General features: G+C 54.1%; 1 protein-coding gene and 1 non-coding gene across 8 annotated transcripts in view, besides 7 other annotated features; one reads left to right on the top strand and one right to left on the bottom strand.

Moving 5' to 3' along the window:
- Window positions 1–775: 775 nt before the first annotated feature.
- ATOH8 (atonal bHLH transcription factor 8) overlaps window positions 776–27376 on the bottom strand; it is a 37393-nt gene continuing 10792 nt past the window's right edge. The window contains exons 3-5 of one of the 7 annotated variants that reach the window (XR_939732.2): window positions 10993–11194; window positions 7499–7556; window positions 776–5274 (exon numbers count right to left, since the gene is read on the bottom strand). Coding sequence is in view for 4 of the 7 variants with exons in the window: in XM_011533139.2 (XP_011531441.1) it covers window positions 7530–7556 (27 nt within the window). In the remaining 3 variants the exon portion in view is untranslated. Of the gene's footprint in view, window positions 5275–7498; window positions 7557–10992; window positions 11195–11444; window positions 11787–16947; window positions 19298–27376 lie in introns of those variants that run through there. The other 6 variants (XR_939731.2, XM_011533139.2, XR_939733.3 and 3 more) reach the window with 6 other exon arrangements.
- MIR6071 (microRNA 6071) lies at window positions 8482–8559 on the top strand. Its single transcript, NR_106719.1, has one exon. It is a non-coding gene; the product is annotated as a microRNA 6071 (primary transcript).
- Window positions 14923–15423: an enhancer, noted in NCBI's record as "H3K4me1 hESC enhancer chr2:86003859-86004359 (GRCh37/hg19 assembly coordinates)". NCBI's record gives its function as "activates a minimal SCP1, AML or CMV promoter by ChIP-STARR-seq in primed H9 embryonic stem cells {active_cell/tissue: H9 hESC(primed)}" and the evidence as "EXISTENCE:reporter gene assay evidence [ECO:0000049][PMID:30033119]".
- Window positions 15424–15924: an enhancer, noted in NCBI's record as "H3K4me1 hESC enhancer chr2:86003358-86003858 (GRCh37/hg19 assembly coordinates)". NCBI's record gives its function as "activates a minimal SCP1, AML or CMV promoter by ChIP-STARR-seq in primed H9 embryonic stem cells {active_cell/tissue: H9 hESC(primed)}" and the evidence as "EXISTENCE:reporter gene assay evidence [ECO:0000049][PMID:30033119]".
- Window positions 18277–21815: an enhancer, noted in NCBI's record as "VISTA enhancer hs1652". NCBI's record gives its function as "enhancer in: other[6/8]" and the evidence as "EXISTENCE:transgenic organism evidence [ECO:0001131][PMID:17130149]".
- Window positions 22159–22453: a silencer, noted in NCBI's record as "tiled region #11465; K562 Repressive non-DNase unmatched - State 20:ReprD". NCBI's record gives its function as "represses a minimal TATA promoter and a strong SV40 promoter by Sharpr-MPRA in K562 cells {active_cell/tissue: K562}" and the evidence as "EXISTENCE:reporter gene assay evidence [ECO:0000049][PMID:27701403]".
- Window positions 25427–26009: an enhancer, noted in NCBI's record as "H3K27ac-H3K4me1 hESC enhancer chr2:85993273-85993855 (GRCh37/hg19 assembly coordinates)". NCBI's record gives its function as "activates a minimal SCP1, AML or CMV promoter by ChIP-STARR-seq in naive H9 embryonic stem cells {active_cell/tissue: H9 hESC(naive)}" and the evidence as "EXISTENCE:reporter gene assay evidence [ECO:0000049][PMID:30033119]".
- Window positions 26010–26592: an enhancer, noted in NCBI's record as "H3K27ac-H3K4me1 hESC enhancer chr2:85992690-85993272 (GRCh37/hg19 assembly coordinates)". NCBI's record gives its function as "activates a minimal SCP1, AML or CMV promoter by ChIP-STARR-seq in naive H9 embryonic stem cells {active_cell/tissue: H9 hESC(naive)}" and the evidence as "EXISTENCE:reporter gene assay evidence [ECO:0000049][PMID:30033119]".
- Window positions 26593–27176: an enhancer, noted in NCBI's record as "H3K27ac-H3K4me1 hESC enhancer chr2:85992106-85992689 (GRCh37/hg19 assembly coordinates)". NCBI's record gives its function as "activates a minimal SCP1, AML or CMV promoter by ChIP-STARR-seq in primed H9 embryonic stem cells {active_cell/tissue: H9 hESC(primed)}" and the evidence as "EXISTENCE:reporter gene assay evidence [ECO:0000049][PMID:30033119]".

The following is a 27376-nucleotide window of genomic DNA, read 5'->3' as shown; positions in this document are numbered from 1 at the left end:
TGGCCACCACCCCCAGACGGCCAAGCTGTGGGCATGCCCAGACAGTGGCGACAGGGAGATGTTGTGGACCTGGAGGGCACACAAGACCATCATGATGGTCAGCTAAGGAGCCTGGGCTGTAGTCTGGAGGCAATGGGCCCAGGGAGGAAGTTTGGAAATAAACCCCTATCAGCCATGGCAGAGGCAGGGTTGGAAGTCACAGACCATTGACAGAGAGGCCAGTCAGGAGGCAGCCACATGGCCCGTGAGCAACAGTGAAGTTGAAGCTCCTGACATCACCTCAAACACGCCATGCTGGGGTGGCCCGAGGAGGCTGGCCCACTCCAGGGAGGCCACGGGACCAGGGCGGCAGAGGGAGCTCATCTCTCCGATCCATTAGTAGTAACTGCTTGGAGCATTGTCTGGAGCGGAATTCAGGCAGTGTAGGAGCCCCTGGAGAAAAAGAGCCACTGTTGATTAGTGATGTCCGAGGCAGGGCTGTAAGGAGGCTTGGCGGCATTCATTCACTCATCTACACATTCAGTAACTGTTCATTCAGTGCCTGTGTGCCAGCACGTGTGCTGTGATGCTGTCCTCTTCGCTCAGTTCTCAAAGACTCGGCCACATAAAGAGCAAAAAGGTCCAAGGCCAGGCTTCTCTCGGCTCTAAGCCCCTCTCCCTTCAAGCCTCTCCGAAGCCATATAAAAGATCACCTGGCCTGGGTCCTGTTTTCCCCAGGTCTTGAACAAATTAGATGCTTGGGAGTTATTTGTGGAAGGAAGAAAACAAAAATGAGTGAATTACCACATTTTCCATGTTTTATTCATTCATTCAGCAAAGAAACCAATATATACACTTTGCAAGAAAGCCGTTTCGAGGATCAGGGGTTGAATTAGATCCAAACTTTGATCTCCAGGAATTCATAGTACCATCTGAGATTAGACACGTACCCACAGTTCTGGAAAACACTGTCATTGTTTGTCTATCAAGTTCCTCAGGATGCCTGGCTTCAGGGAGGCAGGCATAGTTTGTCTGGGGTCCGGGTCACCAGAAGGGAGACATGTGGGAGGGCAAAACCTGGGGGCAAAGGGAGAAGCCAGCTGCTCCTCACAAAGCAGGGACCCTGTGCCCCGCTGTCTTCCTGGAACCAGGAAACAGAAAGCAGCTGTGAAGGTGGCAGGGCAGCAAGAGAGCAAGACGAGAACAACGGTACAGATCCACTCAAAGGGTTTCCTTGGAGATGTCTGAGTCTTGCTGTTTGTTGCCTGGGATGCTGGCAATGACCACTTCGTGGCTCAGGAAGCAGCATAGGAGGGAGGCAAGTGTAGCCCCAACTCCAGTCCCCTCGCCGGCTTCCCACGGCTGACCACAGCGCGGCCCCTGTCTTATCCTAATTAGCTGCACCTATGCCTCCGTCCAGGCTCACCGGCAAGCTCTTGAGCACAGAGGAGCTCTGTACCTGCAGCTCCCAACACAGTCCCTGCACATGGCAATGCTACCCAGTTCCCAGCCCCTGGGACCTGCCTACTCATGCCTCCACTAGCTGTGAGAAAGGGGAACTTGGTGGAGGTGGAGAAATCCAGAAAAAAAGAGAACAGCACAGAGCCTTGAAGGATGTGGCCATGGAGACAGGAAGGAGCATAGTGTGGGGGGATGAACACTTGCTCAAAACCTCACCTCCAGAATTTAACCCTCTCTTCTGGGATAGTCTCAGGCCAGACCCAGGAAGCAGCACAGTCTGTGGGCAGTCTTTGGAGAGTCTTGCAAAGCTTGGCCTGTGAGCTGAGATCTCCAACTCCCAGAGCCATTCCTTCTGGTTTTGTTCTGCAGAGAGCAGGAGGCTGGCACACACACACATGAAGATGGGTGTGCACACGTGGGGCTTCATGCAGACATACCCAGGAAGATCTTGCGGGTCCCTGGAGAGGGCCCCCTCATCCCTTTATGGCCTGTGCCTGGTGACCCAGAGCAGACAAGACAAGGAGAGTGTGCTACAAACATCCACAGGTGACTCTGTGACCACAAACCCAAGGCTGGACTGCAAAGTGCTTTCACAGGGCCCCATGAGGGCAGCTCCTCGTCATTTATATTTTGCTGAGGGTCTCCTTGAATGGCTGCTTGCATAAAAGTGTTTAGAAGACTGCCGTTGGAATCTGAATCTATCTGAAATGTAATTCCATTTTCTGGAAATGTACACGAGTGTGTGTGTGGGTATGCATGTGCCCATGAGAGAGAGTATGCATGTGTGTGCATACGAACACAAGTTGCTGTGCTGGAGAGGAAGCTGGGAAAGGAGAGGAGAGCATGCACTTTTAGTCATCCACATACATACATATGTGTGCACACACACACATCCACCCAGAGCCTGTCTCCCAAATCGATGGCTCAAAGTCACTTTCTTATCGTAGACCAGACCCCACTTAGACCAGCGGCTTCAACCTTGCCTGCACATTAAGATCACTTGAGGAGCTTGTAAAAATCCCAATGACCAGGCAACACCCTAGACCAATACATCAGAATTTCTGGAGATGAAATTGGGCATCAATACTTCATATCAATATTTAATATTTAATAATCTCCTTGGGTGATTCCAATTTCCTGCCAGCGCTGAGTGCTCCTCTGCATAGAAAGCCCTTTTCCTACTCCCCTGCTCAGAAAGCTTTTACTCACCATTTAAGACGCAAGTCCCATGGCTACTTTCCAGGGAAATCCTTCCTGAGAACCTCCCCAAGAGTTAGTTCTTCCTTTCCTGAAGCTCCCGACAACACCTTAGTCATCTGCTATAATCATAATTATTTGCTTGTCTACCTGTCTGTCCCACCCTCCGTACAGAACCCAGAGCTCCGTGATGCCATGCATGACACAAGATCCATCTCTTCATTCCCACTGCCTATCTTAGTGTCTGACAGGCAGCTGGTCATCAATGATGCTTCAGAATGAAAGGGAAACATGTAATGAAGTATGTATGCAGGAGGGGGATGGGAGGTGGAGGATGGGCTCTTTCTGGGTGGTAAGGCCATGGGTTTGCTCCCTTGGCAGCAGAATGGGGTACACTCCCTTTGGTAATAGAAATGGTCTTCTATGTCAACAGTTTGATGCTGGTCAGTCCACATGTCCTGCTGCCTTAGGAAGTGCCATCAGGGTTACTCAGAGGCTCCGAGGGACAACAGAGCAGTGCTGTTATCTGTGCCAGCTTCACAGGGTGGCTGAACCTTCCTAACAGACCCTCCTGGCCCCATTCCATGCCCACTCTGTCCAGTCTGCTTCCAGAGCACCTTTGCTCTGAGGAGTGCTCAGGGCCACCTGGGTCCCCTGTTTCTGTGCCAGCCTAGGGATCCAAGACAGCATGGACACTGTGGTCCTTGGTAAAGGGCCAGCCTGAGAAACGCTACTGCAAGGGGGGCTCCCTGCAGCCAGCCCCAGCCCAGCCCAGGAGTCTGAGCAGCAGAGACGAGAAAGTGACACTGGTGAAACCAAGGGACAAACTGTGTCCTGTATGGCTGCAGCCTCCGGTCCCCTCCTATCCCCCTTTCCTTGGCCAGCCCTGTCCCTTCTGCCTTGACAGTGCTCTCCTATTTTTTATCTTATCACCCCTTCCCCCAGTCCCAATGGGCCTTTATTGTCCCTACCTTAGGCCCGCTGAGGTGAAGCAATGTGACAAGGCCACACAAGAGACTTTGGGCTGGGACTGGTGATGGGGCTGGAAAAGGTTTGAGAGCACAGGATTTGAAGTGAGCCCATCCTGATTCGATGACTGGCTCTGTCACCGACTGACCCTGTCTACTTGAGGCCTCAGTTACCCCATCTGTGAAACGGGGTTAATAATAGGGGCCCCTATCTCATAAATCCATGGTACAGATTGAGTGCAGTGCGGACAGAGAGGGCTCCTCATGTGTTCCTGACCAGGCCTCCTGGTCACTAGTCCAGGCTGAGACTACTGTGGGAACCGCCCTCCACCCCCTTCCACACACAGACACACACACTCTCACTCGGACAGCGCCTGATCCTGAAGGGCTCTCAACCTGTAGGTAGAAACCAACCCCCTCCCTCACACTCCCCAGCTGATGACCGGCCAAAGTCCTGGTCACCCACAGAGTCCACTCAACACAAGTATTTTCTTGACATTTTGGGGCTTTTACTTCAATTTGAAGCAGATGGTTGAGCACAGACGTGAACAGCTTTGGCCATTTGAGCACAAGGAAGGGGCGGGCCTTGGCTTTGAACACGCAGGCCCCATCCTCCACATACTGGCCCAGTCCCCTGGTCCCTTCCTTCTCTGCCCCTGCACACCCTGTAACAGACCACCGCCCTCCAAGTGGGGCGCCATCTTGCCCAGTAGGACGGCTCCAGCCAACCCAGCCTCTACTCCTTCCTCAGGCCACGTGCAGGCTGAACAAGAGAAAAACTCTTTTTCTGTCCATGGCAGGGCCTGCCCATGGTGCTGGCTGCCTGGGACGGGGGCCCATGGGGGTGGGTCACAGTGAGGAGAGGCTGGCTGGGGAAGCAAAGACCCATAGGTAGCTGCCCTGGGGCAAGTCCCTGGTGTAGGGGAGGGAGTAATATTGCTTCTCTCCCTGCTTACTCCCTTCTGGTGATGCTTAGGGCCCAAGGAGCCTGGACCCAAGGGACACTGAGAACTGGGGCCAGTGGCCTGGGCAGCCAATGAAGGGGAGAGAGTGGGCAGGGATCTCAGGTCCCACTCCCAGCCCCGCCCAGGCACCCCAGCCTCCCTCTCACAGCCCCTAAGGCTTGTCTTGCACTCAGCCAGCACAAGGCCCAGTGGAGAGAGAGCACCAGGTCAGAGGGCCAAGATGACCCCCAGGGGTCATCAAATGCCCATCCATTCCATGAGTTCCTAGCAGAACCACTGACTCATCTTTGGCTTGAGATGGGGCTCAGGCAACAGGAGGAGCAAAAGTCACAGAGCAACGGTGTGGCTTTTCGCTGTGGGGTTTCACCACCCCATTTCCTTCGGTGTCTCTGTCCAATCTTTGGCAACGAATTTCTGCAGCTGGACAGTGGGCCTTGGGGTCTGAGTGAGTCGGGGGCTGAGCTCTCCCCTCCCCACCAGGCAGAGGGCAAAGTGCGAAGCAGCCTCGGATTGGCTGGGTGAGGGCGGAGGGGAGAGGGAGGCAGGCGTGCTCCGATCCGACCCTGAGAGGCTGTAGGCTGGGCATCTGGCGGCATCTTGGAGAAGACCACGAGGCTGGACTCAGCGAGCTCACCTTGTCCTCAGGCCTGACTGGAAGGAGGGCCCACAGTGGTGGCCTTGGTCTTGCCTGCAGCCAGTCACTCCTGAAAGACATGACCAGCCATTAAAAGCTGCCCCTGCTCCACCTGGTTCCTGTTTCTGGACAGCTGCAGAATGTCCCTTCACTGAGTCCTCCAGGCAGAGGGGCCCCCACCTTGAAGGGTTCGATAAGTGGAAGAGCCAGGATTCAAACCCCGGCCTGGCTGCCTCCAGAGCCCACACTGTCCCCCTGTTCCTTAGTGCTGCATTTCAGAGGCCCTGCGTTTTGGTTGGTTTGGGGAAAGAAGAGGACCACAGTGGGTAGTGGGAGCCAGGGCCGCTGGAAGCTCGGGGACACCTGGGGCTGACACCACAATCCCCAGGGCCACCCCTCTGAGGGATCTCAGAGGCCCGTCCCCACCCTGGGGTGGCAGGCTCCTCTGCAGGCTCAGTCCCACTGGAATGGCCATCTGCAGCTTCCTTGCGCTGCCCTAGGAGTCACAAGGCCCACTCTAGTTGTAGCACATTCACCTGCCAGCTGGGTGACCTAAAACAAGTCATTTGACTTCTCTAGGCCTCAGTGTCCTCATCTGTAAAATGGCGTGGCTGGAGCAGATCGATGAAAGCTCCTTTTAAGCAGGAGAATGAAGTACATGGAACACTAACACAGAAAACATGTGTCTGTCTATTTGATTGCAGTGGAGTCAGGGGACACAGAGGAAGGGGGACCCAGAGACCTATTGCATTCCTTCCAACAGAGAGCCTGGGACATGTCTGAGAATCAGGGTGCTAAGGAGCACAGTTCGAAAATTGCTGGGTTAGACCACCTTTAAGTTCCCTGCAGCCCTGATCTGTGCAATCCTCATTCTGGCAGCTGAACTTGGCGCTCTGAGCAGACGGTGTAACTGGCTACCAGGAAGGGATGGGACAGGGGGCAAGGTCATGGGGCCTGTGGGGTTTTAGCTCTCTGGGGAGGTCAGAGCCGGTGGGGAGGCTCTGTGAGACCTCCAGATCCACCCAGGATGAAAAATAACAAAGTCCCTGAACCTGGTACAACATAACCCTCTTAAAGCAACTCCAAACACCCTTTTGATTCGTGCTCCAACCCTCAACCAACAGCTATTAATAAGTAGTTATTTTTAAAGCAAAACATCTGTCAGGCACCTCCGACCTGCCAGGGAGCATTCCCATTCCCCCCTCTCATGAGTGAGCAATCCCAGGCTCCGAGAAGGAAGTGCTAGAAGTTGCCAGTGCCAGGATTTGAATCCAGATCGGCAGTGTTCATTCTACCACACAGAGGCTGCTCTCACTGAGACAGAGGCTTGGGGAGCCAGGATGGAGCCAAACCACGACGTGGAGGGCCTGCTAACCACAGGCCCTGGTGAGCCCCGTGGGCCGGGGCAGCCAGCCAAGACGCAAGTCTGGGGCAAGGCTGAAGTGGGGTCCAAGGAGGGCGAGGGAGCCGGGCCAGAGGGAGGGAGTGCTCTCCAGCTAATAGTGGCTCAGGAGGGAGAAAAGGAAAAGTGAGAGGCGGGAGCATCTTGATGTGGTAAATCCCAGGCTCACATTCTCCAAGCCCACTGTGCATGGCTGGCCCCAGCAGGAATCTGCTTTGTGTTACCGAGTCTGAGGAGGAGGATTAAGAAGCGGAAAGGAAACCCGTGGGGATGGCACTGGGTCTGTGGTCCACGGGGTGATTTACAGCTCGCGTCATCCCGGCGCTGGCTGCCTGGGCGGGCCCTGCCATGGGCAGAAAAGGTTTTTCTCTTGTTCAGCCTGCCCGTGGCCTGAGGAAGAAGGGGAGGCTGGGTTGGCTGGAGCCGTCCTCCTGGGCATGCTGTAAAGGCGGTCAGGGCAGCCTGGGGCCAGCCCCAAGCCGTCTGTTGGCTCTTAGTCCCCGCTGAAGCCACAGCTACCATCCAGGATTAAAGGAGACAGGGGTTTCTCTCACCAAGGCCTGACCTTCAATTCTCGACCTCACCCTTTTCCTGGCGTCTACACTGGACCACCACCACCTCGGTCCAAGAATCTCAGCACATACATCATCCATCCAAGGAAGTCTTATGACAACTGGGATGTAATGGGAAGAACACTAGGAGGCCTCAGGTGCCAGGACTTTCTCTGCAATTCAGCAGCTGTGTGACCTTGGGTAACTCACTCTCCCGCTCTGTGCCTTCATTCCGTCACTTGTACAGTGAGGGGAGGGGAGGCAGATTAGCATTGCCCAAAAGGTGTTCTGTGAACACCAGCTAGGTGAGGCATTCCATGAGTTTGGGAAATACCACATACCTTGGTCCCACTTGGAAAGTCACTGTATGTATTAGCATGTCAAAGGCTCCGAAAAGTCCTGCAGTAAACAAATTTGTGTGGCTTTAATGACCCAGTTTCCCAACTGACTTTTTTTTTTTGAAACAGGGTCTCACTCTGTTATTTAGGCTGAGTGTAGTGGTTGCAATCATGGCTCAGCATAGCCTTGACCTTCTAGGCTCAAGCGATCCTCCAGCCTCAGCCTCCCAAGGAGCTGGGACTACAGGCATGCACCACCATGCCTGGCTAATTTTTTATTTTATTTTTTATAGAGACAAGGCCTCACTATGTTGCCCAGGCTGGTCTTGAAATCCCAGATGCAAGCAATCCCCTCGCCTCAGCCTCCCAAACTTACAGGTGTGAGCCACTGCAGCCAGCCTTCCCAACTGATTTGACCGTGTAATTGCTACTGCATTGTGAGGAGCAGAAACTCACTTCAACCCTCCAGGAAAGGGAAGCTCACTTAAAGTTACAAAAGGGCATTTCACAGAGACCAGGGGGAAGGTCTCAGGATAGGTAGCAAAGGGCTTGCAAAGGTCAGCAGGGGCAGTCTGTGGCCCTGCCCTCTAGACGCCTGCTAATAACAGCCACTTGCAGGTATCCGCCTTCCTCCCTGACTACTGACTGGCCTGGTCTCCCAGCATGCCAATCCCCAAGACCCAGTGGAGGACGCCCATTGGTCTAGCCTAGGTCTGATTTATTCCCCTGGACCAATCAGCTCTGGCCGAGGGATAGAAGACAAAGATGCCAATGATACCTCTTCATAAGTGGCTGTGTGTGGGGGGCGGGGGGTGCATGTGGGGGTGCATAATTGCAAATATGGAGAATAGCAAGCATCCGCGCTGTGACCACCACACCACAGAACCCCTTTCATGGAAAGCCTGGCAACATCCTGTGTCCCATGTGAGGGGCACAGTGCGAGAGGCTTACATTCCCCGCAGCACTGGCCCTTTGTGGGTTTTTGTGTTTCTGCTGCCGGCCAAGGCTCTGGGTCCGGCTTACTCCCTAGCTTACTGTCCTCAGAACCCCCGCCACCACAGAAGATGCCCTTTATTTTATTTATTTATTTTTTTTGAGACGGAGTTTCACTCTTGTTGCCCAGGCTGGAGCGCAATGGCACGATCTCGGCTCACTGCAACCTCCGCCTCCCAGGTTCAAGTGATTCTCCTGCCTCAGCCTCCCGAGTAGCTGGGATTACAGGCGTGCGCCACCACACCCGGCTAATTTTTTGTATTTTTAGTAGAGACGGGGTTTCACCATGGCCAGGCTGGTCTTGAACTTCCAACCTCAGATGATCCACCCTCCTTGGCCTCCCAGAGTGCTGGGATTATAGGCCTGAGCCACCGTGCCCATCCGAAGATGTCCTTTAAACAACAGGTTCTGCTGCTAAGATTAACCTTGAGAATGACTAGATGAGGAGGCCTCACAGGTCCCTCTCAGCTGCTCTGACGTGCTGAATCAGAGCAAGGTGATTTGGTCAGTGTGGCAAAGTGGGAGCATTTATCACAAGCAGAAATCATCTTTTTATCTGTTCACTTGTTTATAGTCAGAATGCCAGCTCCACGAGGGCAGGGACGTGGCCTGTTTTGTTTGCTGTTGTAGCTCCAATGCCCAAAACAGTATCTAACACACAGCAGTATCTCAGTAAATGCTGGGCCAGGCGTCACGCCTGTAATCCCAGCACTTTGGGAGGCCAAAGCAGGAGGATCTGTTGAGGTCAGGAGTTCGAGACCAGTCTGGCCAACATGGCAAAACCCCATCTCTACTAAAAATACAAAAATTAGCTGGGTGTGGTGGCGCATGCTTGTAATCCCAGCTACTTGAGAGGCTGAGGTGGGAGGATCTCTTGAACCCAGGAGGCAAAGGTTGCAGTGAGCTGAGATTATGCCACTGCACTCCAACCTGGGTGTCAGAGGGAGACTCTGGAGACTCTGTCTCAAAACAACAACAACAACAACAACAAATAAATACTGGTTGACTCAATCATAGCTACTTTTGGTCACAGGCATTTTACTCACTGTGGCTTTATATATTGCAAGATGTTTCTCCTACTTCAAATGTAACATTGAGCATTTTTGTAAATGGGTCTATCTATACTTTCAGGGAAGTTGTGGTAATTGTTATGAACCCTGGAACAATTTAGCAACCTTTATGCTTTTGTTCGTTTCCAGTTTAAAAAAAAAAAATTCTAATTGTTTTCCTATCCTGATCACTTCTGTGCACTGCAGGGTAATTTTACCACTTTGGGGCATTTAAAAAAATGATTTTATCTGCCTTTAAGTTATTTTACCTTTTACATTTATTGTCAGTCTATGATGCCCACTTTACCTACTTAACCATTTTCCACTATTTCAAATTATACATTTTTTGTATTTAAGCAATTTTGATACAGCCTTCTACATGCAGGGAGGAATAAACCTCCAATGGGGTTGAAATCCTGACTTTTTTTTTAAATTGGTCTTTCCTAAAAAGGGCAGATTTCAAATGTTATTTTAAAACTAAAAGGTGAAAAAAAGAGCAGATATGGCATGGGAGGAGAGTTTTTCAAAAACCACAGTATTAGTTTGCCTTTCACTGTTAAGTACACCAGTATGTGGGCTAGAAATGGGGCTTCGTGTTTGCCTCTGAATGCTGCTCTTGATTCTTACTGGGGTTCATCTTGGCCCCAGAGTCAGCTGGGGGGCCCTGAGCAGGATACTTAACCTCTCCAAGCCTCAGTTTCCTCATCTTTTTTATTTTTATTTTTATTTATTTTTTATTTTTTTTAGACAGAGTCTTGCTCTGTTGCCCAGGTTGAAATGCAGTGGTGCAAACAAGGCTCACTGCCACCTCAGCCTCCCAAGCTCAGGTGATTCTCCCCAATCAGCCTCCTGTATACCTGGGACCACAGGCTCATGCCACCACACCTGGCTAGTTTTTTTTTATCTTTTGTAGAGACGGAGTCTCACTTTGTTGCCCAGGCTGGTCTCAAACTTAAGGGCTCAAGCGATCCTCCAACCTCAGCCTCCCAAAGTGCTAGGATTACAGATGTGAGCCACCATCCTGGTCAGTTTCCTCATCTTTATTTATTTATTTTTCAGTCAGAGTCTTACTCTGCCACCCAGGCTGGAGTACAGTGGCGTGATCTTGGCTCACGGTAACTTTGCCTCTTGGGTTCAAATGATTCTCCAGTCTCAGCCTCCCGAGTAGCTAGGATTACAAGCGTATGTAATCACACCCGGTTAATTTTTGTATTTTTAGTAGAGACGGGGTTTCACCATGTTGGCCAGGCTAGTCTTGAACTCCTGACCTCAAGTGATCCGCCCACCTCAGCCTCCCAAAGTGCTCTGCCTCAAAAAAAAGAAAAAGAAAATACAGAAGAGTGAACAGAAAGAAAATTGTTTCAATCACCTTAATCTCTCCACGGAGAGCAAACCACTGATAACATTTGGTTAACTATTGTCCCATATGCTATTCCCATGCATATGCGTACTCACATACAGTATTTTACGAAAAGTGGAATTACGCTGTACAAGCTGCATCATAAGCTGCACTGGTGTTTTCTTTAACACTCAAGCCTGGACATCCTTGCGTTTGACAGATCTGCTTTCACATCTTCTCCAAGGGACAGACTTTGCAGAGGTTATTCTGGGCACAGGCGCAAAGCCTGGGCTTCTGGCCTCCAAGCTCCCCAGGGACCTGGAAGCAAGTATGGACCAGTCGGCCTCCAGCACCTCCTGCCTGCCTGGCCTGGGTGCCATGGGTGACAGGCAGGAAATTTATGAGCAGTTGGAATTGGCTGCTATTTGCGGGGGGCGGGAACATGGCATGAATCGAGGATAGTGCTGTGTCCGGGCTTGGAGGGCCCTTCAAGGTCCCGAGTGTCTAAGAGTTTCAGTTATGGCCAGAGCCTTTAGTGAGCCAGGACAGTTGGCCTGGGGACCAAGAATGGGGAGAAAAAGTCATTTATTCAACAAAGATGCATTAGTTCCTAATAGGGGCCAGTCCTGTCCCAGGCACTGCGGCAGCTTACAGTCTAACTCTAGGGGAAAGCTGAGGACCACCGTTGCTGGCTGCTGCTGTGGATTCCGCCCAGTCCTTTCTGTATTTCTCAAGGCTGCTCACCAGAGAGGAGGGGACTGGCACAGGCCTCAGCCGTGCTGTGCAGACAGCTGCCCCACAGGCCCCAGGTCAGGAGCAAGGTAGGGCCAGTGGTCAAACCCCTCCTTCACTGAAGCCAGTGGATGTTTGCAAACCTCGGAGTCAGTCAAGGCCGTGCAGAAGAACTTTCCTATCAGTAAGAAACAATCGTTGCATCAGGCAATGTTGAGGATGAGAGCAGGTAACCTGGGGGAGCCCTTCTTGTGCTAAGATGCTAGAGGTGGTGCTGGGTCCCAGGTATCCTAGGCTAGCATTTCTTGAGCACCTACCATGTACTCCACAGTGTTGCAGGCCCTTACTTTGAGTTACTTCCACCCACTAGAATGTAGGTTCCACAAGTGCAGGGCTGGGGCTGGGGGTTGCCAGTTGGAGTCCTTGCTGCCTCCCTAGTCCAGGACAATGAGGGCCTGCTCATGTCCACCCTCTTACCCCCACCAGCCCCACACCCACCGCAAGGTGGGGACAACAGGTGCCTCCTCTGAACTCCCGAAGCTCTTTATCCCAATTCCTCCTACATCCCCTTACGCCACGAATGGTTGTCGGTGTGATTGCCACGGTCCCTTCACCTACCCCACACACCTCCACCACGAGCACCCCATCCTCCCAGGGCCTGGGAACAGAAGCAAGTGCATTAGTGTTCAGTGCCACCATTTACGGAGGGCGGCTCCTTGCCAGGCACCGTGCCACACTTGTTTGCATGCGTTGTCTTTTGCAATTCCTGGGAGGTGCCTACCGCTGCACACATGTTGCAGATGAGGAAATGGAGGCCTGAGTGGTGACCTCACTTGCCCTAGGCCACATTGCTAGGATGCAGCAGGGCAAGGTAGACCCTTAACCCCTACAGACCTCAGTTTCCTCACTGGCAAACAGGAACGGCAGGTCCCCAAGCCATCCAGCCAGCTGTCACCTCCTTGGTTCTAAGAAAATCTTGGCCTTTGACTCCTGGAGCCTAAGGGAAGGTGGCTGGCAGTGGGAGGCCCAGCACCCCCAGGGCCAGGGCCAGAGCTTAGAGGAGCCCACTGGGCCTGCAGAGGCAGCCATGCCATGCTGACGCCTTCTCAGGCTGCAGGCCACTCTCTCTGGCTGCCGAGCTGTCTCCCTCTCCATGCTCTGCCTGTGTGTCTCTGCCAACTCTTCCTTGGCCTCTTCTTTGTTTTTCTCTCCATATCCATCAGTCTATCTGTCTTTCTTGCCCCCCACCCCAGCTCACCCCCAGCGTGGGGCATTGTGAGGGTCGAGCTGGCCCAGGCGAAGCTGCAGGCAGCTGCTGCGGCTTCCCATCTGCTTCCATCCTGCGATGCTGTCCGGTCATCGCACTTGGCTTCACTGCTCTTCCAGATGCCAGCAGCTCAAAAGGCCCATGGCCGCACTGCAGAGCCAGAAGAGGCATCCAGGCTCAAGGGGGCACCCAGGCTGGAGGGGGCACCCAGGCTGGAGGAGGCACCCAGGCTGGAGGAGGCACCCGGGCTGGAGTACCCAGACTGGAGGAGGTACCCAGGCTGGAGGGGGCACTCAAGCAGGAGGGGGCAGCCCACTCAGGCTGGAGGAGGCACCCAGGCTGGTGGAGAGCAGACCAATGGGCAGACTGGTGGCCCAGCCACACGAGAAAGGCTCTGCTCTTCACCTGCCCTGTGGGCCTGACTTATGATCCTTACACAGACACCCCCACACGACATGTAAGTTCACATGCCCCGACCACGGTGGAGGGTCCCCATCAGGCCTGCCTCCTTCTGGACTGGGAACTGCTCCCATCACCCTGCTGCCTCTCGAAGCGCCTCCCCTCCCCAGTCCTTACCGCAAAGTGACAGCAGGGATTGATGGGCACCAACCAACCAGACAAGCCAAGTCACACCAAAGTGCTGGCCAGCAAGCCTTTGCAGAGATCACAGTGCTTCTCCAGGAGACTCCCAGGACGGAGCCCGGCTGTGGATACTTCAGGACCACTGGGGCACCCGTGGCTTGGAGAGGCCGTGAGACATTTGGGAAGCCCAAATAATCCAGTGATTTCAGCAAAAACAGTGTGCGTTCCATGCAAATGCAGTTTTAAGATGAGGAACACCTCCCCTAGCCTCTTCCATTGTCCCTAAGCCCCTCCCCTAGCTAGATGCAGGTGCCACCGAGGGATCCAGGTGGGGGTAGGGACATCTCTGATTAGAGGTCTTTACTCACTGCCACACACGCGCGCGCACACACACACACACGTATGCACGTGTGCACACTCACTGGCAAACAATCCAGCACAGTGGTTAAATGTGCCAGCTATGGCACCAGACGGCCTCTGTTTGAATCCTGACTTCCCCATTCTACCAGCTGCATGGCCTTGAGCAAGATGCTTAACCTGTCTGTGCCTCAGTTTCTTTACCTATAAAATGGTAATATTAGTATCTACTGCATGAGCTTGTCAGGAAGATTAAAGAACACAATGGCTGCAAAGCCAAGCACTCAGTGCTTAGTAGCTACATGTCGGAGCACAGAGACTCCATCGGGGTGGGGTAGGAAGGGTCCCCAGCCACCCCATTTACCCATCAGCAACTCAAGACAGGAACTTTGTCTCCACTTCAGATCACCAGGGCCTCCCTCTGTATGGGCACAGAGGAGCCGCCCTTCGGTATTTGTGGAAAACAACTGAAAACACCGCCTTACCTCATGCTTCCACTGCTCCATTCATCCAGCAAATGTTTACTAAGCGTTTAGACCACGCCAGGCTCCACTGGAGGCTCTGGGGATCCCAAAGTGAACAAAACAGACGAGAAGCCCAGCCCTCCCAGCTCCGCCATCCTAGGAGAACAGGCTCCTGCACAGAAGCAGACTTCCCTGGAGAAAGGAAGCCACATGTTTTCTGTGCCAAAACAGCTTGGATGGGCCCTTTCCCAATAACTGATGCACTTCCCTGCATTCTCAGCCCGACATTACTGGATGTACTTTAGCTTCCTCTTGACAACTCAAGGTCAAGTCCACGAACATCAGTGCACACACAATTCCAAGGTCCCTGAGGCTTGCCGGCTCTCTGCCCTGACACTAAGGGGGCCCCCAGCCTCTCGGTCCTTCTGAGCCTCTGGCCTTGTTCTTTATCATGCGTCTATTTCTTCTTATTCGATGAGGCCACTGGCTGATTCTGGGTGCTATCTCTGTACCTGCTCCATGGCCTGATACCCCAACCCCTGCCCTCATAGGCTGTTTTTGTTCTGAGGTTCAGATCTGAGGGGCCTGAGAGTCAAGCTCGTAAGAACTGTATGCAGGCTAAGTGCAGTGGGCTCCAAAGACCATACCGAGGGGCCCTCCTCTGAATTTTTTATGCATAGCCTTTCTATAGTTTAGCTCTGAGTTCCGAAGGGTGGGGCCTCTGTTTTATTCTCCAAAATGCCCCCAGCACTAGAACAGTACCTGACACAGAGTAAACACTCAGGGCGATTTATTCTTAAGTAGATGTGCAGGGCAGGGCCCTTCATGTTTTACTCATCTTTTAACACTCAGGTACCTAAAAAGACTGAACAAGTGAAGAACCCCTGTGTGTGCGTGTGGAGGGGGTGGGTGGGCTGTGGTGGCAGGGACTCGTGTGTACGTGGTGGTGGCAGGAACAGGGCTGGCAGGAAAGCGAGGCGGGAGGCACAGCTGCTGACAGGGGGATGGACAGCTCTCAGCAATGCCCGGTCACGGCTCTCCAGATTCCAGGTGGGCTCCAAACGGCTCACTCCCAGAGCTGCCCAACATGTGCCCAGCTGCCTGGCTCTGCCCTGCCCTGCCCTGCCACTGAGGGTCCATCTTTAATGGCTCCTGGGCCCTGTGCAGGTAGAGCAATTTTGAAATCCTTGAAGTCAATCAGCCGCCTTCCAGGGAGTACCTCCTTCCCATGTGCATGGGAAATCGGCCCACCATGCAGGAGGCCCTCCACCGGACCCCAGCAGACGGTGCCTACGGACGCGCCAGCACACCTGCGTGTGTGCATGCATGCACATTCTCTAAGTCACTGCGTGAGGAGGGGACACTGAAGTCCCTCTGCCCACCTTCCTGATGGGCCAGCAGTGGCCTCCAGTGACCCTCTCTGAGTGCTGTGCCTCCAGTTGACAAAATGCTTTCACAGCCCTCATTTCCTCAAACGCTCCTCACCTGCTTTTATCCATATTTTATGAGGAAAGTGAAGCTTGTTGAAGGCAAGTGCCTGAGGTTACGGAGCTCCTGAGTGGTTGAGCTGAGACTCAGACCATGCCTCCAAGCCTCAGGCCCCAAGCCGCCAGGCAACCCCTGAAGCTCACACCCTCACCTTTGAGAGAACAGAGGACAGAGGACAGCGGTGGCCTGGATTCAGCCTGTCCAAGCCCCACCCAGCCCTGCCCAGCTGCTTGAGCCTGGGCGACTTCGCCTCATCTCACTCCCATGTTTAATAATGTGGACCCCAGGAGCTTGTTCTAGGATTCAAGAAAATCATGGGTGTGAGAGGGCTCTGCAAACCGGAAAGTGCAGTGCACAGGAACGAGGTCGCTGGGGGCCTAGTCAGGTCATTTCAGTTCTGTGAACCTCAGCACTGTCACCTGAAAATGGGGCTGGTGACACCCAATTTGTGGGGCTGTGGTGAGGACTGGGCAAGCTCAAAGAAGTGGGGCTCTGACATTGTGGTTAAGGTAATGACAACAGTTAGCTCCCCAGGAAGAAAACCACCTTGTCACAAATCAGGGTCAACCCTCCAGACACGAGCCACATGGCTGTTTTCTCTGTTGCCCTCCCAGCTGACAGACCTTGATGTTTTTCTCGGGTTCGAGGGGAGCATCTTCCTTTGGAGGAAGGGAGGGGCTGTCTGGGCAAGACTGACTGCCCTGGTGAGGAGAAACACTCTTCCTAGCATGGCCCCCTACCCTGACTGTAGATGCAGCTTGAGGATGAAAAGCTCGGTGCTGTGGCAACCACTCTGCAGCCATGAGGCAAAGATCAAAAGAAGCCTGGACTCTTGGATCCCAGGGAGCAGCTGATTTCTGAACTATGAAAAATGCCAGCCCCTGTTAGTTTAAGCTGCTGCTTGAGGGGTTTCTGTTATTTGAAACACAGTGCTTTCCTTGCAGATTCAAGGGAACAAGGGTATGAGCCCAACTGGAGCACAGGAGAGCCCAGGGGCATCTCCCTAGCTGTGTCCTAAAGCCCCTAGTTAATCCTTCCCTAGAAGGGAATGTCCCTTGCCATCAGCATAGGGACATTCAGCCCTAGCAGTGTGGATTTTAGTGGAAAGAATGGTGTGTCATTATTTGGGGGCCCTAGTATGTGCCAGAAGACAGGACACAAAGAGAAAGGGGCTCACAGTCTAGCCAGAGACACAGGCATTTAATCCAACACTGTGTAACATAGTGTCATGGGATGTAATATCACATCGCATCCTATGTCACATAGCATACCACCTAAAAATATAATATAATACAATGTAATGACATGAAATCTAATATATCACATAATAGAGTTTCATATTGTCTAACATTTTAACTCATTACTTTAAAAGCATATCACATGATGCTCTCCTGAATTAGACCAAAAGCATCCCTGTGCTACGACACCCTGAGGAAGGAGCTGGGGTTGGGGTCAGGGAGGGCTTTCAGGAGGAGCTGAGCCTTCCAGAATGAGCAGGAGTTAGCCAGGCAGACAGTGGAGAAGGGCATTCCAGGCAGAAGGGATGGCATGAGCACAGAGGCCAAAAATAGCCCCTTTGAGCAAGGAGTTCTGTGCTGCTGGGGTGTAAATTGGGACATAGGGAGTGACCGGCCAGGGCCAGGTCACTTGGGGGGCCTATCAGGTGTTCTATTGAGTCTGGCCTCATCCCTTGGCCTGTAGGGAGCCCCCTAGGCCTTAGGGGAGCTAAGTAGGGGATGGAGTGAGGCAGTCTGACCAGCTTTCAGCAGAGCAGCCAGGAGGGGCTCTGGTGGGGCTGACAGCCAGGGCAGCTAAGACAGGCGCCGGTGGCTGTGAATTCTGGGCAGAGGTGGCAAGATGTTAAAGGAGAGAATGGCTCCCGACTTCACCCTCTAGAAACACTTATCCTGGGAGCACAAGGAAGGTTTGTTGTTTCCCATGGAAACTGCTTTCTGGTCTGCTGGGGCAGGTAGAAAGGGCATGGCCTGTTTAAGGATGGGATGTGGGGAGCCAGGGCCTGCTGACACCCTGTCTGAGGCCTCGCACTGTGCCAGGTGCAGGGCTCAAGGCTGAGCAGTGGGCAGGGCAGCCCTGTCCTCCTCTTCCTCTTGTCCTCTGGAAGCCTCAGAGTTCAAAAGCAATTTCTGGTCACTAGGCTGACGCCATGCCATACCAGGGGCTGGGGACAGTGGTTCCTCTTCCTTCCTCGGGTCCTCCTTGCCTTTGGCCCCACGAAGACCAACTTCTTGGGCAGGAGACATGGGAGGGAGAGCAGATTTTGCAAAACAATATTACGTCCTTTATGCCACTAATCCATGAACAGACCCAGGAGCTGGTGGGGTAGCTTCATGATAACTAATCAGGGTCCTGAGGTTAAAACACTTGAGCACCCGGCCGCACGGCCCCCAAGGGAAGAGTAGGGACCAGCTCCAGCATCCAAACCAGATACCTGCCCCCAGAGGTCACTCAAGGAGAGAGGATCCCGTGGGCCTGCGCTGAGCCCTTCAGATGGTGAGACAAATGGCCCTAAAACTGTGATAAACATCAATATTTGGTCCTGCCAGAGCTGCCATCTCTCTAACTGGAAGTGGGAGGAAAGCTGAGAGGAGGGCAAGAGGAATGAGGTGCAGGAGCCTGTGTAAAGATGAAATGCAAAAAGCCCTCCAAAGCCCCAAATGTGAGGCTTTTGCAAAGCCGGCCACCCACAGCCGTGTCAATGACGGGCTTTTTCCACTGCTGGGGTGAGGGGCTGCTGGGGCTTCTGGATCTGGGGAGGCAGCCCATGGAAAATGGGTGCAAAGAACTGAGAAAGGAAAGGGGAAACTCCCAGTACCCTGCCACTGACCTGTGTCCCCCCATCACATCACCACTGTCTGACACATGGCAGCCCCAGGCCCAACTCAGCTCCTCCCTCAGTGTCCAGGGGCTGTGAGGAAAGCAGCCCAGCCTTGCCCTTCTCTCCTTTCCTCCCCAGGGCTGGCTTCCAGTTGCCGGCCCTGCCCCAGGACCCCACAGCCCCTGACAGGCCACCCAGTGACTGCTCCCAGGAGGTGCCCAGGTTCCAGGCAGACATATCCCAGAAGGCTTTGGCGGCAGCAGCCAGTTCTTAAAAAAGGCTTCATGTCATGCTGCAGTCAGCGGCAGAGCCGAGGCACCGGCGTATTTATGAATGTGATTGTCCTCCCAGAACATCTCCGTGAAGCTCTCTGATGAGCTGATGGGGGTCTCTGCATGGTGTCCGGTCTCCCAGACCCTCCCTCTGAGGAGACATTGTTCTCGTCTGTGTGCATGGGGTTTATTCAGGGTGACGGCGGAATGACTCTGCCATGGCGCTGCCTGTTTTGAGCCTCAACACTGAGATGCGCTCCCAAGCACCTTCTTGCTCCCATGTCCCCTCCAGCTGTTTTCTTAGGAAAATAGTCACTTTCAACCATCCCCAGTGACAACAGCCTTGAGAAAGAAAAGTTCCGCAGTGTCAGGAGCACTAATGAGGTGGCCTTCGGGCTCGCAGAGGAGGAAGAAAAGTCACAACTGATGTGAGAAGAGGAAGAAACAACATTAAAAGAAAACGGGAAAAAAATAAAAACCAGAGATAAAAAGTCAAGAGAAAACAGCGGCGCCTGAGAAACAAGAATTCCAGCCGCCAACTTTTACGGCGTCCAGTCCTGTTATTCATAAGCGAGTTTCCTCTCTCACAAAGAACCTTTTGCACGGTTTTCCCTGCTGCCTCCAAACCAGCTGCTCGCGCTGTTGTATCCTGAGTGATGATGAGGCTCTGAAAGGGTTTTTTGGGAACAGATGGCCAGGGGAGAGCTGGGGAATGTGCCAGCAGAGGGCCGGGCGGGCTGCCAAGGCCTGTGGTGACTGAGTGCTTGGGCTTCCAGCTCGCGTGCTTTCCCTGCCCTCTGCCCTCCGTGGCGCCAGCAGGCCTTCCCAGCGAGCGCTCGGAACATCTGGAGTCTGGGGCTGCCAGGAGGGGGGGCCGCGGCGGCCGGGCGGGGGACCCTCTGTTCCAGCGGAGCTCCCATGGACTCACCAGCAGGCCCGCCTCGCAGAACAGCTAATCAAAACCACAGCGCCCGAATGGGAACCAGGCGCGCTCCCAGCTGCAGCCAAAGGCCGCCAGGCGACTTAACCTGGTGTCAGTCCTCGCCGGCGGCACAAAGCTGGGGGTGCCCGCAGCTGATGACACCTCCCTGCCCAACCCACCCCTCGCTACCACCAGGGCCACCACCAGCAGGCTCTTGGCTCCCCACAGCTAAATGGAGCCTGCACTGCGCTGCAGCCGGGCTGCTTACATAAGAGCTGTTGCTCTGGGCAAGGGACGGCACCAGGCACTTGCTGGGGGCCTCCTGGGCACAGGCCACTGTGCTGGGCAGTGTGCGAGCTTCAGGCAGCGGGCTGGCCTCAGGACTGAAGAGCTCAGAACTCAGAACCAAAGAGATAAAACAGGTTGGAAACTGAGCTCTGCCACTTCCTGGCCATGTGGCCCCAGGCAAGTTACGCCCTTCTCCTGGCCTCAGTCTTCCATCTGTGCAATGAGGGAAGTGGTCCCAACTTTGGGGTTAGTATAACACGGGGTAGAGATAATGTGAGTGGGATGCCCATAAGGGGACACAATGGCACTCACCACATGGTTGATGTGCTTGGTGGTGGCAGTGGTCTGCTGCAGTGCCGATTAGCATTATTATATGACCACATGTTATGCATGTTTCTTGGTATGACTCCCTCTACTTTGACATCCGAGGATTTCTGGATGGGCTGCAGGCTGCACCCTATGCTAAGGGTGCAGGACCAGGGGTTTGAGCTGAAGTGCTAGAGGGGAAAGAATCTCTCACTCAGAAAGGTTGGTCCTTCCCCATCTGCCTTTTGGCTGGTCGGTCATTCATCCACCCTGGCACTGCCCTTTTCTGAGCTGTTCCTTCCCGGGGTTCCAATTAAGTTGTTACCTTGTAGCTATAAATTCATGAGATTTCCTCTCTGGCACTCACCGGGAACACCAGCCCTTTCTCATATGGGGTCTTGTTTAATCCTTTCAGCAAGGCAGCAAGGCAGATTTGTGTGCTTTCACTTTACAGATGAGAGGACTGGGGATCAGAGAGGTCAAATAACATGCCCAAGGCCACAGAGCGAGAGTGACAGTGCCAGGACTCAAATCCAGGTCTCCAGCCCCAGAACTCTGCACTTTGCCTACTTCACAGTTTTGCTGAGGGCCGCCATAGCGTGCGTTCCTGTGCCTTAAATGATAGCACTACAGAGCACCAGAAAGAACCACAGCGTTCTCTGGGGTTAGCCCCCACCCTACACAGACACCCCTTCTCCAGCGTCCCGAGAGCCACTGAGCCTCCACAGGGGCTTCCAGAGGGGAATCTTGGCTCAGAGGTGCCCCAGGGGGTTCTCTGCATTCCCCAGTGTGGTCAGTTAGGGCATCAGAGGGGACTTCCCACGTCTCAGAGACCTTCTGAGCAGGAAGAGCTGGTTTTTCTCCCTAGGTCAGAGATCCTGAGTTTTCATTCATTCTCAGTGTGTTGGGGAGAAGGGTGGGGTCTGGGAGCGCATGTTGAGGGTGGGGAGCAATTTGGAAAAAGAGAGAGGAGGAGGAAAGGGGCAGAGAGTGTGAAAAGAGGGAGGAAGCGGCACCCCAGCCTTTCCCTGCGCCTCGCCTCGAGACCACCCGGGGAACCTCAGAGGCACGGTCCACGTTCAGGGAAAGCCAGCTCAGCTCACCTGGGAGGCTCCCCAGCCAATGACCCCTCCAGCCCAGGCCCTGCCAGACTTGTGGCCTAACAGTGTCAAATGGGAGAAGAGAAACGGCAGCTGAGAGAACACTCCGTGTTAGAACAAACAGCTGGCGACAAACGTCTATGTAATTGGAATGCCAGAAAAAATAAATTGCATCCATTTTTATGGCTAGTTGGGAATTTGATGGTGGTTTCCCACCCACCCCCCTTTTCCCCAGCATAGATGGCCTCCTTGGGCTTTGAAAGCAGATGGTATTTAACTTAATAACTGGGCCGGGAGGGGGTTGGATATGTGAGCCACCAACCTCCCCTCAACCCCACTCCCATGTGAGAAGCAGGACAGGGAAGCAGTAGGAGCTGGGGGCACACACCTCTGTTAGTGGTTAGGTGATCTCAGGCAAGTTCCTTGGGCTCAGGGAGCCCCGGACTCACCATCTGTGCATCAGACAACACCAGTCCCCCACCTCAAGGGTTGGTGAGAGGAGCCCACGAGGTGATACCCGGGAAGCACCAAGCACATGCCTGGCACATGATCCACGCTCTCTGAACATCAGATGTCGCCAGTATTCTCAGGGCAAACCGCCCTGAGGTCCCAACAGTCTCTAGGAGCGACTTTCAAATCTCTGTGAAATGCCCTGAGAAGTAACACAGGGGTCAGTCATTAAAGCAGAAAGAGGATTTAGGTGGGCTTGGCAAGGGCCTTAGAAATCACTTATGACAGCTCCTCACTTTTCAGAGACAAGGCCTCAGCAGGGCTGACAATGTACATGGGAGGTAGGAACAAAGCTGGGACAGTGCCCCTTGGTGGGCACCCTAGGGGCCATAGGTGGAACTGAATCCAGGCAGGGTGCGGCTCTGGAGACTCCGCCTCCCACAGTCCACAGAAGGGGCTGGCACCCAGGGATCCTGTCCGAGGCCTGGGCTCAGCTATCCAGACAGAAGGGGGCCCCTCCTACACACCCTCAGCTCACACCAAACCCCCTTCACCCGACAAAATCCAATATGCCTTCATCTTGTCCCTGGCACCGAAGCTACGGGGTCTGCACCCAAGACGTTCTTCCAAAGCGGACCCAGGCCATACTAGGACCTGCCTCCTGTCCCCAGAAAGCAGCAAGGAAAAGAGGGAGGACACAGATCTCATGAAGCTGCACTGGCTTAATTGCCACCTCTGGCTTCAGATTACCCACAGGGCCAGGAGCAAACCTCCCAGCCCTGCAGACCCCGCCTTCCCAGCACTGGCACACGGCTGCAGGCACACCACCCGGGGGGGTCTAGCTTGCTGGCTAAGCCTCTGGTACAGCCCTCAACTCAGCACTTTCTGGTTCGTCTTGTCTCCCATGCAAAACCAGGGCCTTTGAGCAACTTGAGGGCAGGAACTTACTGGCCATTTATTGCCAGGGCTCAAAACATGCTATCAATTTGAGTAGCTGTTGTTGTAGTTAGTATTATACTACCTGATGGCTTAAAATCATTAGAAGACAATGCCCTGGTTTGTGCAAAATCAGTGCTTTCCTATTCCATAGATCTGGGGGTGGCCCACCCAGCCCAGGTGTGGAAGAACAGTTCTGCCTCCTCCTTGTCTTCCTCTTTCCCCTCCTCCTCCTCAGAAGCTCCCAGGAGTTGCTGCTTTAAAAACAGGAGCTGTGGAAAAGTGGCCCAGAGCCAGGTGCTTAACGTGCATTATCTCCGGCTGCAGCCGGAGTCAGAACTGAACTCCCCAGAGTCCTTCCAGGCCTCCCGCCCGTCTCTCTGCTGGGCGGCCTCTGACATGGGCCTCTGCACTACTGGGGCTTCCAAATGGGGCTCCAAATCCTCAAAGTCATGATCTGTGAGGCCCAGAAGGGGAGGATTCACTGGCCAAGGAATGCAGGTTCCCCACCCCCTGCCGAGGAGGGCTGAGATGGGCGGAAGGATGCACCTGGGCTTGGAGGGGGAGCTGAGTGCCCTTTAAATCTCATTCTTAATGCTGACCTGGACCCACAGTGCAGCTCCTCGGGGTGCGAGGGACCTCAGAGGACACTGAGCTCAACCTCCCAAGTGGGCATCTTGAAGGAGGGTCGCCCAGCCTCTTTTGGACACAGTAGCTCTGAGGGAAGCAGTCCCTGCATGGGACAGTTCAAATGGCCGCCAATCACACCAGCGATGACCACTGCCATCACAGCTGCTACAGCAGGCATCTGCTTGCGGCCTCACAGCCTTTGGTCCAGATTTTTGCTCCCAGGCTTCTGCAACCCTGCCTGACAGGCCTGTCAGCAGTCCTCTACCCTAAGGCTTTAAACCCCAGCTAACATGCAACTGAGTTGCCAGGAGGGTGACTGTGAAGCTATGGGCCACCATGCACCTTGTCAGGAATTCCTTTACCAGGCAGGCTTCCACAGCCACAGCACATGGAGCGGCAAGCGTGGCTCATTGGGGTAGGAAGGGCTGGGAAGCAAGTAGGCCTTAGGTGGTCATCTCATTTTCCAGAGAGGAACAGCAATGGACTCCAGCAACCCTGAGTGGTCGTGAGAGGGACAGTGGCCTGAAGTCAGGTGGAGGGGCCTCACAGAGAAACTACACACTCGTAATATCATTCAGACTCAAACTGGGCCCACGCTCCTGTCCCAGGGCCATCTCCAAGGTGACGCCAAGAGGCAAGCCCCAGGGTGGTGGCCCAGGGACTGTGTGCTAATCCAGACCCTGTGTGGTGGGGACTCCAACCCATGAACCCACCTCCTGACCCAGAGAGGGCAAAGCAGGTCTGGATGGAAGGCTCTAGTTCTCACCCCTCTCCTGCCCTCCTGTGCCCCTGCAGGACTCTGGGCAATCTCTCCAGCCCTCCTGGGTCCCCTCCACAGTCCACAGCTTCCTGATGGCCCCTGATGGCTAGAAATTTGTGTTAGAAGCAGAAATTCTTTGGTTTGCTTTTTCCTTTTTCTCACCCTAACCACTCCTGGTTCCCAAATCCTCTAGACCAAGAAGTGTTCAGTCGCTGCATGATGGTGGGGACTATGTGGTAAATTATTTTGTACCTGCACTGTGTCAGGTACATAGAGGGTACTCAATAGCTGTTCATGGAAGGGAAGGGAAGGAGAGGGGAGGGGAGGGGAAGAGGGAATACCAAGAAGCACTTTGAGATTCCCATCTCTTGCTTGGGGACCCCTACAGTAGTCACATGTCCTGTTGAGCGGGGGTAGACAACTGCTGAAGAGGGTGAACGGTGGGGAAGAGGGGCTCTTCCTCCCAGCACCTGTTATAAGTTCCTGGGCTTCCCCTGGCCCCTGCCTGGCTCCCAGGCTGTGGTGTGGCAGGACTGAGCGCTGTGAGCAGTGCATGCTCTCAGTCACCTCTTCCCAAAAACTCATAACCACGTGCAATCTACTGGTAGACCTTTGCAAGTCTTTTCACAGAAATAATCCTAGACATGAGGAAAGAATATTTGTTGGTTCAATTGTCCTGGGGGTTGATTCCCCAAACAGAATCTCTGTAAATGGAGGTGGGGCCTCAGGAGTCCCAGGCTGGGAGGCACAAAACGAAGAAAATAAAACCGGTGAGGTTCCAATTGCAACTCGAAAGCCAGGACACATCTAAAGATGGGCTCCTCATTCAATGCCATCTCAAGCCCCCCAAAAAAAGGGAAGGACAAGGGGCCCCAGGAGGCAGGGAAGTACCCTCCCCTGGGGCTTCAGGCCCCCTCGGTGTCAGGGCCCATGAGTCCACTCTGGGGCAGGACATCTGCCGAGGGGACCAGCTAAGGCCAGCTATGCTGGGCTTCAGTGTGGGGCCACACATCCCCACCAAGAGAGCGGATAAAGAGGGGAACAGTGTGAGCCAGACTCAGAGAGAAAGACAGGTAGACAGACAGATGGAGGGTGACAGCTAGCAATTATGACCGCAAAAGCATAGGTGCCCAGAAGCGGGACACAGGGGCCTGCCTGGAAGGGCTGCCTGGGAGCTCGAAGGCTCCAGCGACTCCAGGGGTCCTGAGCTGGAAAGGAATCTGGCTGCTTGAGATGCCCACACTTGCAAAGGCTGCCGTGTCAAATCCTGGTCGTCCAGATAAAACTATGGAAGGGGCTGGTATGGGAAGGGCTGGAATTATGAACACCGGCCCCCATGGGGAGACGCAGGGCCAGCCAGGGCTTCCTGAGTGGTTTCATATGAGAAATGTGTCACCACACATATGATGTGAGTCTGCGAGACCATGAAGGTCATTAGGGCAAAGACATACAGACCCCACCTCCCAGAGTCCCAGCTGGGTGACCTCCTCACCCAGCTGGGAAAGACTGAGGGCAGGAGGCAGGAAGTGCCCTCAGGCCCGGGCTGGGTGTGGGGGAGGGAGGGTGGAGAGGAAACAGTCGAGTTCCTACCCTGGAACTTCCATCTCGACCCCCAAAATCCCTCTCCAGGGCAATTTCACCACATAAGTAAGCCCCATAGGATAAGCCTCAAGTTCAGAGCTCAAGCATTTTAGGGGCTCATTATCATTACCCTGAGGACGGTGACCATGCAGACACCACACGCTCTCCTGCAGTAACTCCTTTCATCTTCACGGTGGCCCATGAGTGAGTATTTCCACCGTCCCCACTTATCAACAAGAAAACTGAGGCGGAGGAGGCTAAGCAATGGGTGCAGGATAACACAGCTGGTGAGTGGTGAGCCAGGGCTTGAACTCGGGGCTGTGCTATGCTCTTAACCACAATCTGTAGCCTCAGGTAAAGTCCCAGACTCCACAATGGGAAGGTTGGACCAGGCCCAGAGGGTGTCTAAGATGTGTTAGATTTGAGGTGATTTCAGGGGAAGCCAAAAGCTCGGCTCTGTCGGGCCTCTCCACCCAACTTGTCCCTCCTTCCTCACCAGCCAGGCATCCAGCCTCCTCCCAGCCCAAGACCCTGCTCCATTCAAAGAACCCGGGAAGGCGGGACCTCCACGCTGGCTTCTGCCTTCCCTGGGTGAAGAGGAGGGTGCGGGGGTAGGGCAGTGAGGGGCTGAGATGGAGACGGGGCGCCTGCCCACTCTGCCCATCTACACCTCCGGACCGCCTGAATGCCAGGGGAAGTTCACCGAGAGTTTACAAACCTCCTTTGTCACCGAGCGCCGCGGGAGCCATCAATCACGCCCTAATTTACCAGTGTCACTTTCCAGAGGAAAGCTGCCCAGAGCCGCCAGTGGCGCTTCCTCTCTCACCCACTTGATGAGGATTTTGTCTAATTGGTCCACGTTAAAGCACTCCCAGGAATGCAACGTGCAGTTACCGTGGCAGCGGCAGCGGGGAGCCCTGAGAAGGTGTCGTGACCCTCCCTGGCATGAGTCTGGAGTCCGTGGGGGACCTCCGGGAAACCCGGAGAACCCACAGAGGGGCCTGCTGGAAAGGGGTCTGGAAAGGAATGTCAGGGATGGGGGAGGGGCAGGCCAGGAAGGAAGGAGGCAGCGGAAAGAATGGATGGAGGATGACAGGGTCCGCCCCCTGCCCTAGGCAGGGACAGGCCTCTTGCCTCACAGATGTAGACTGGATCCCACTCTCTGTTGCTCTCCCTGAAGCCACGTGGTAACAGAGATCCGGAGGGCTGCACTAAGCCTTGCTCAGCACTGACCCCTGACTGGGAATGCCCAGAGCTTTGGCCACCTGGGGACCTATAGCTGTGCCCAACACCTTTCCCACTAAATGCATTTCCCCAGCCACATCAGGCTTCGTACAAGCTGTTCCCTCTGCCTCAGATGCTGTTCCCTCCTTCATCTGCCTGGTGACCTGGTGGTCCTGCTGGTCCCAGCTTAAACACCACTTACACTAAGATGCCCTTTCAAACTCCCGTGGGCAGGGAGTGAATCTGTCTCTCTTCTACCTGGCCTTCCACTGCCCCTAGCACAGGGCTCCTGCCCTCATCTACTT

Source organism: Homo sapiens, chromosome 2 (assembly GCF_000001405.40).
Source record: "Homo sapiens chromosome 2, GRCh38.p14 Primary Assembly".
NCBI lineage: Eukaryota > Metazoa > Chordata > Mammalia > Primates > Hominidae > Homo > Homo sapiens.
Note: the sequence above shows the minus strand (reverse complement) of the source record. Positions and strands in the feature narration are given on the sequence as shown.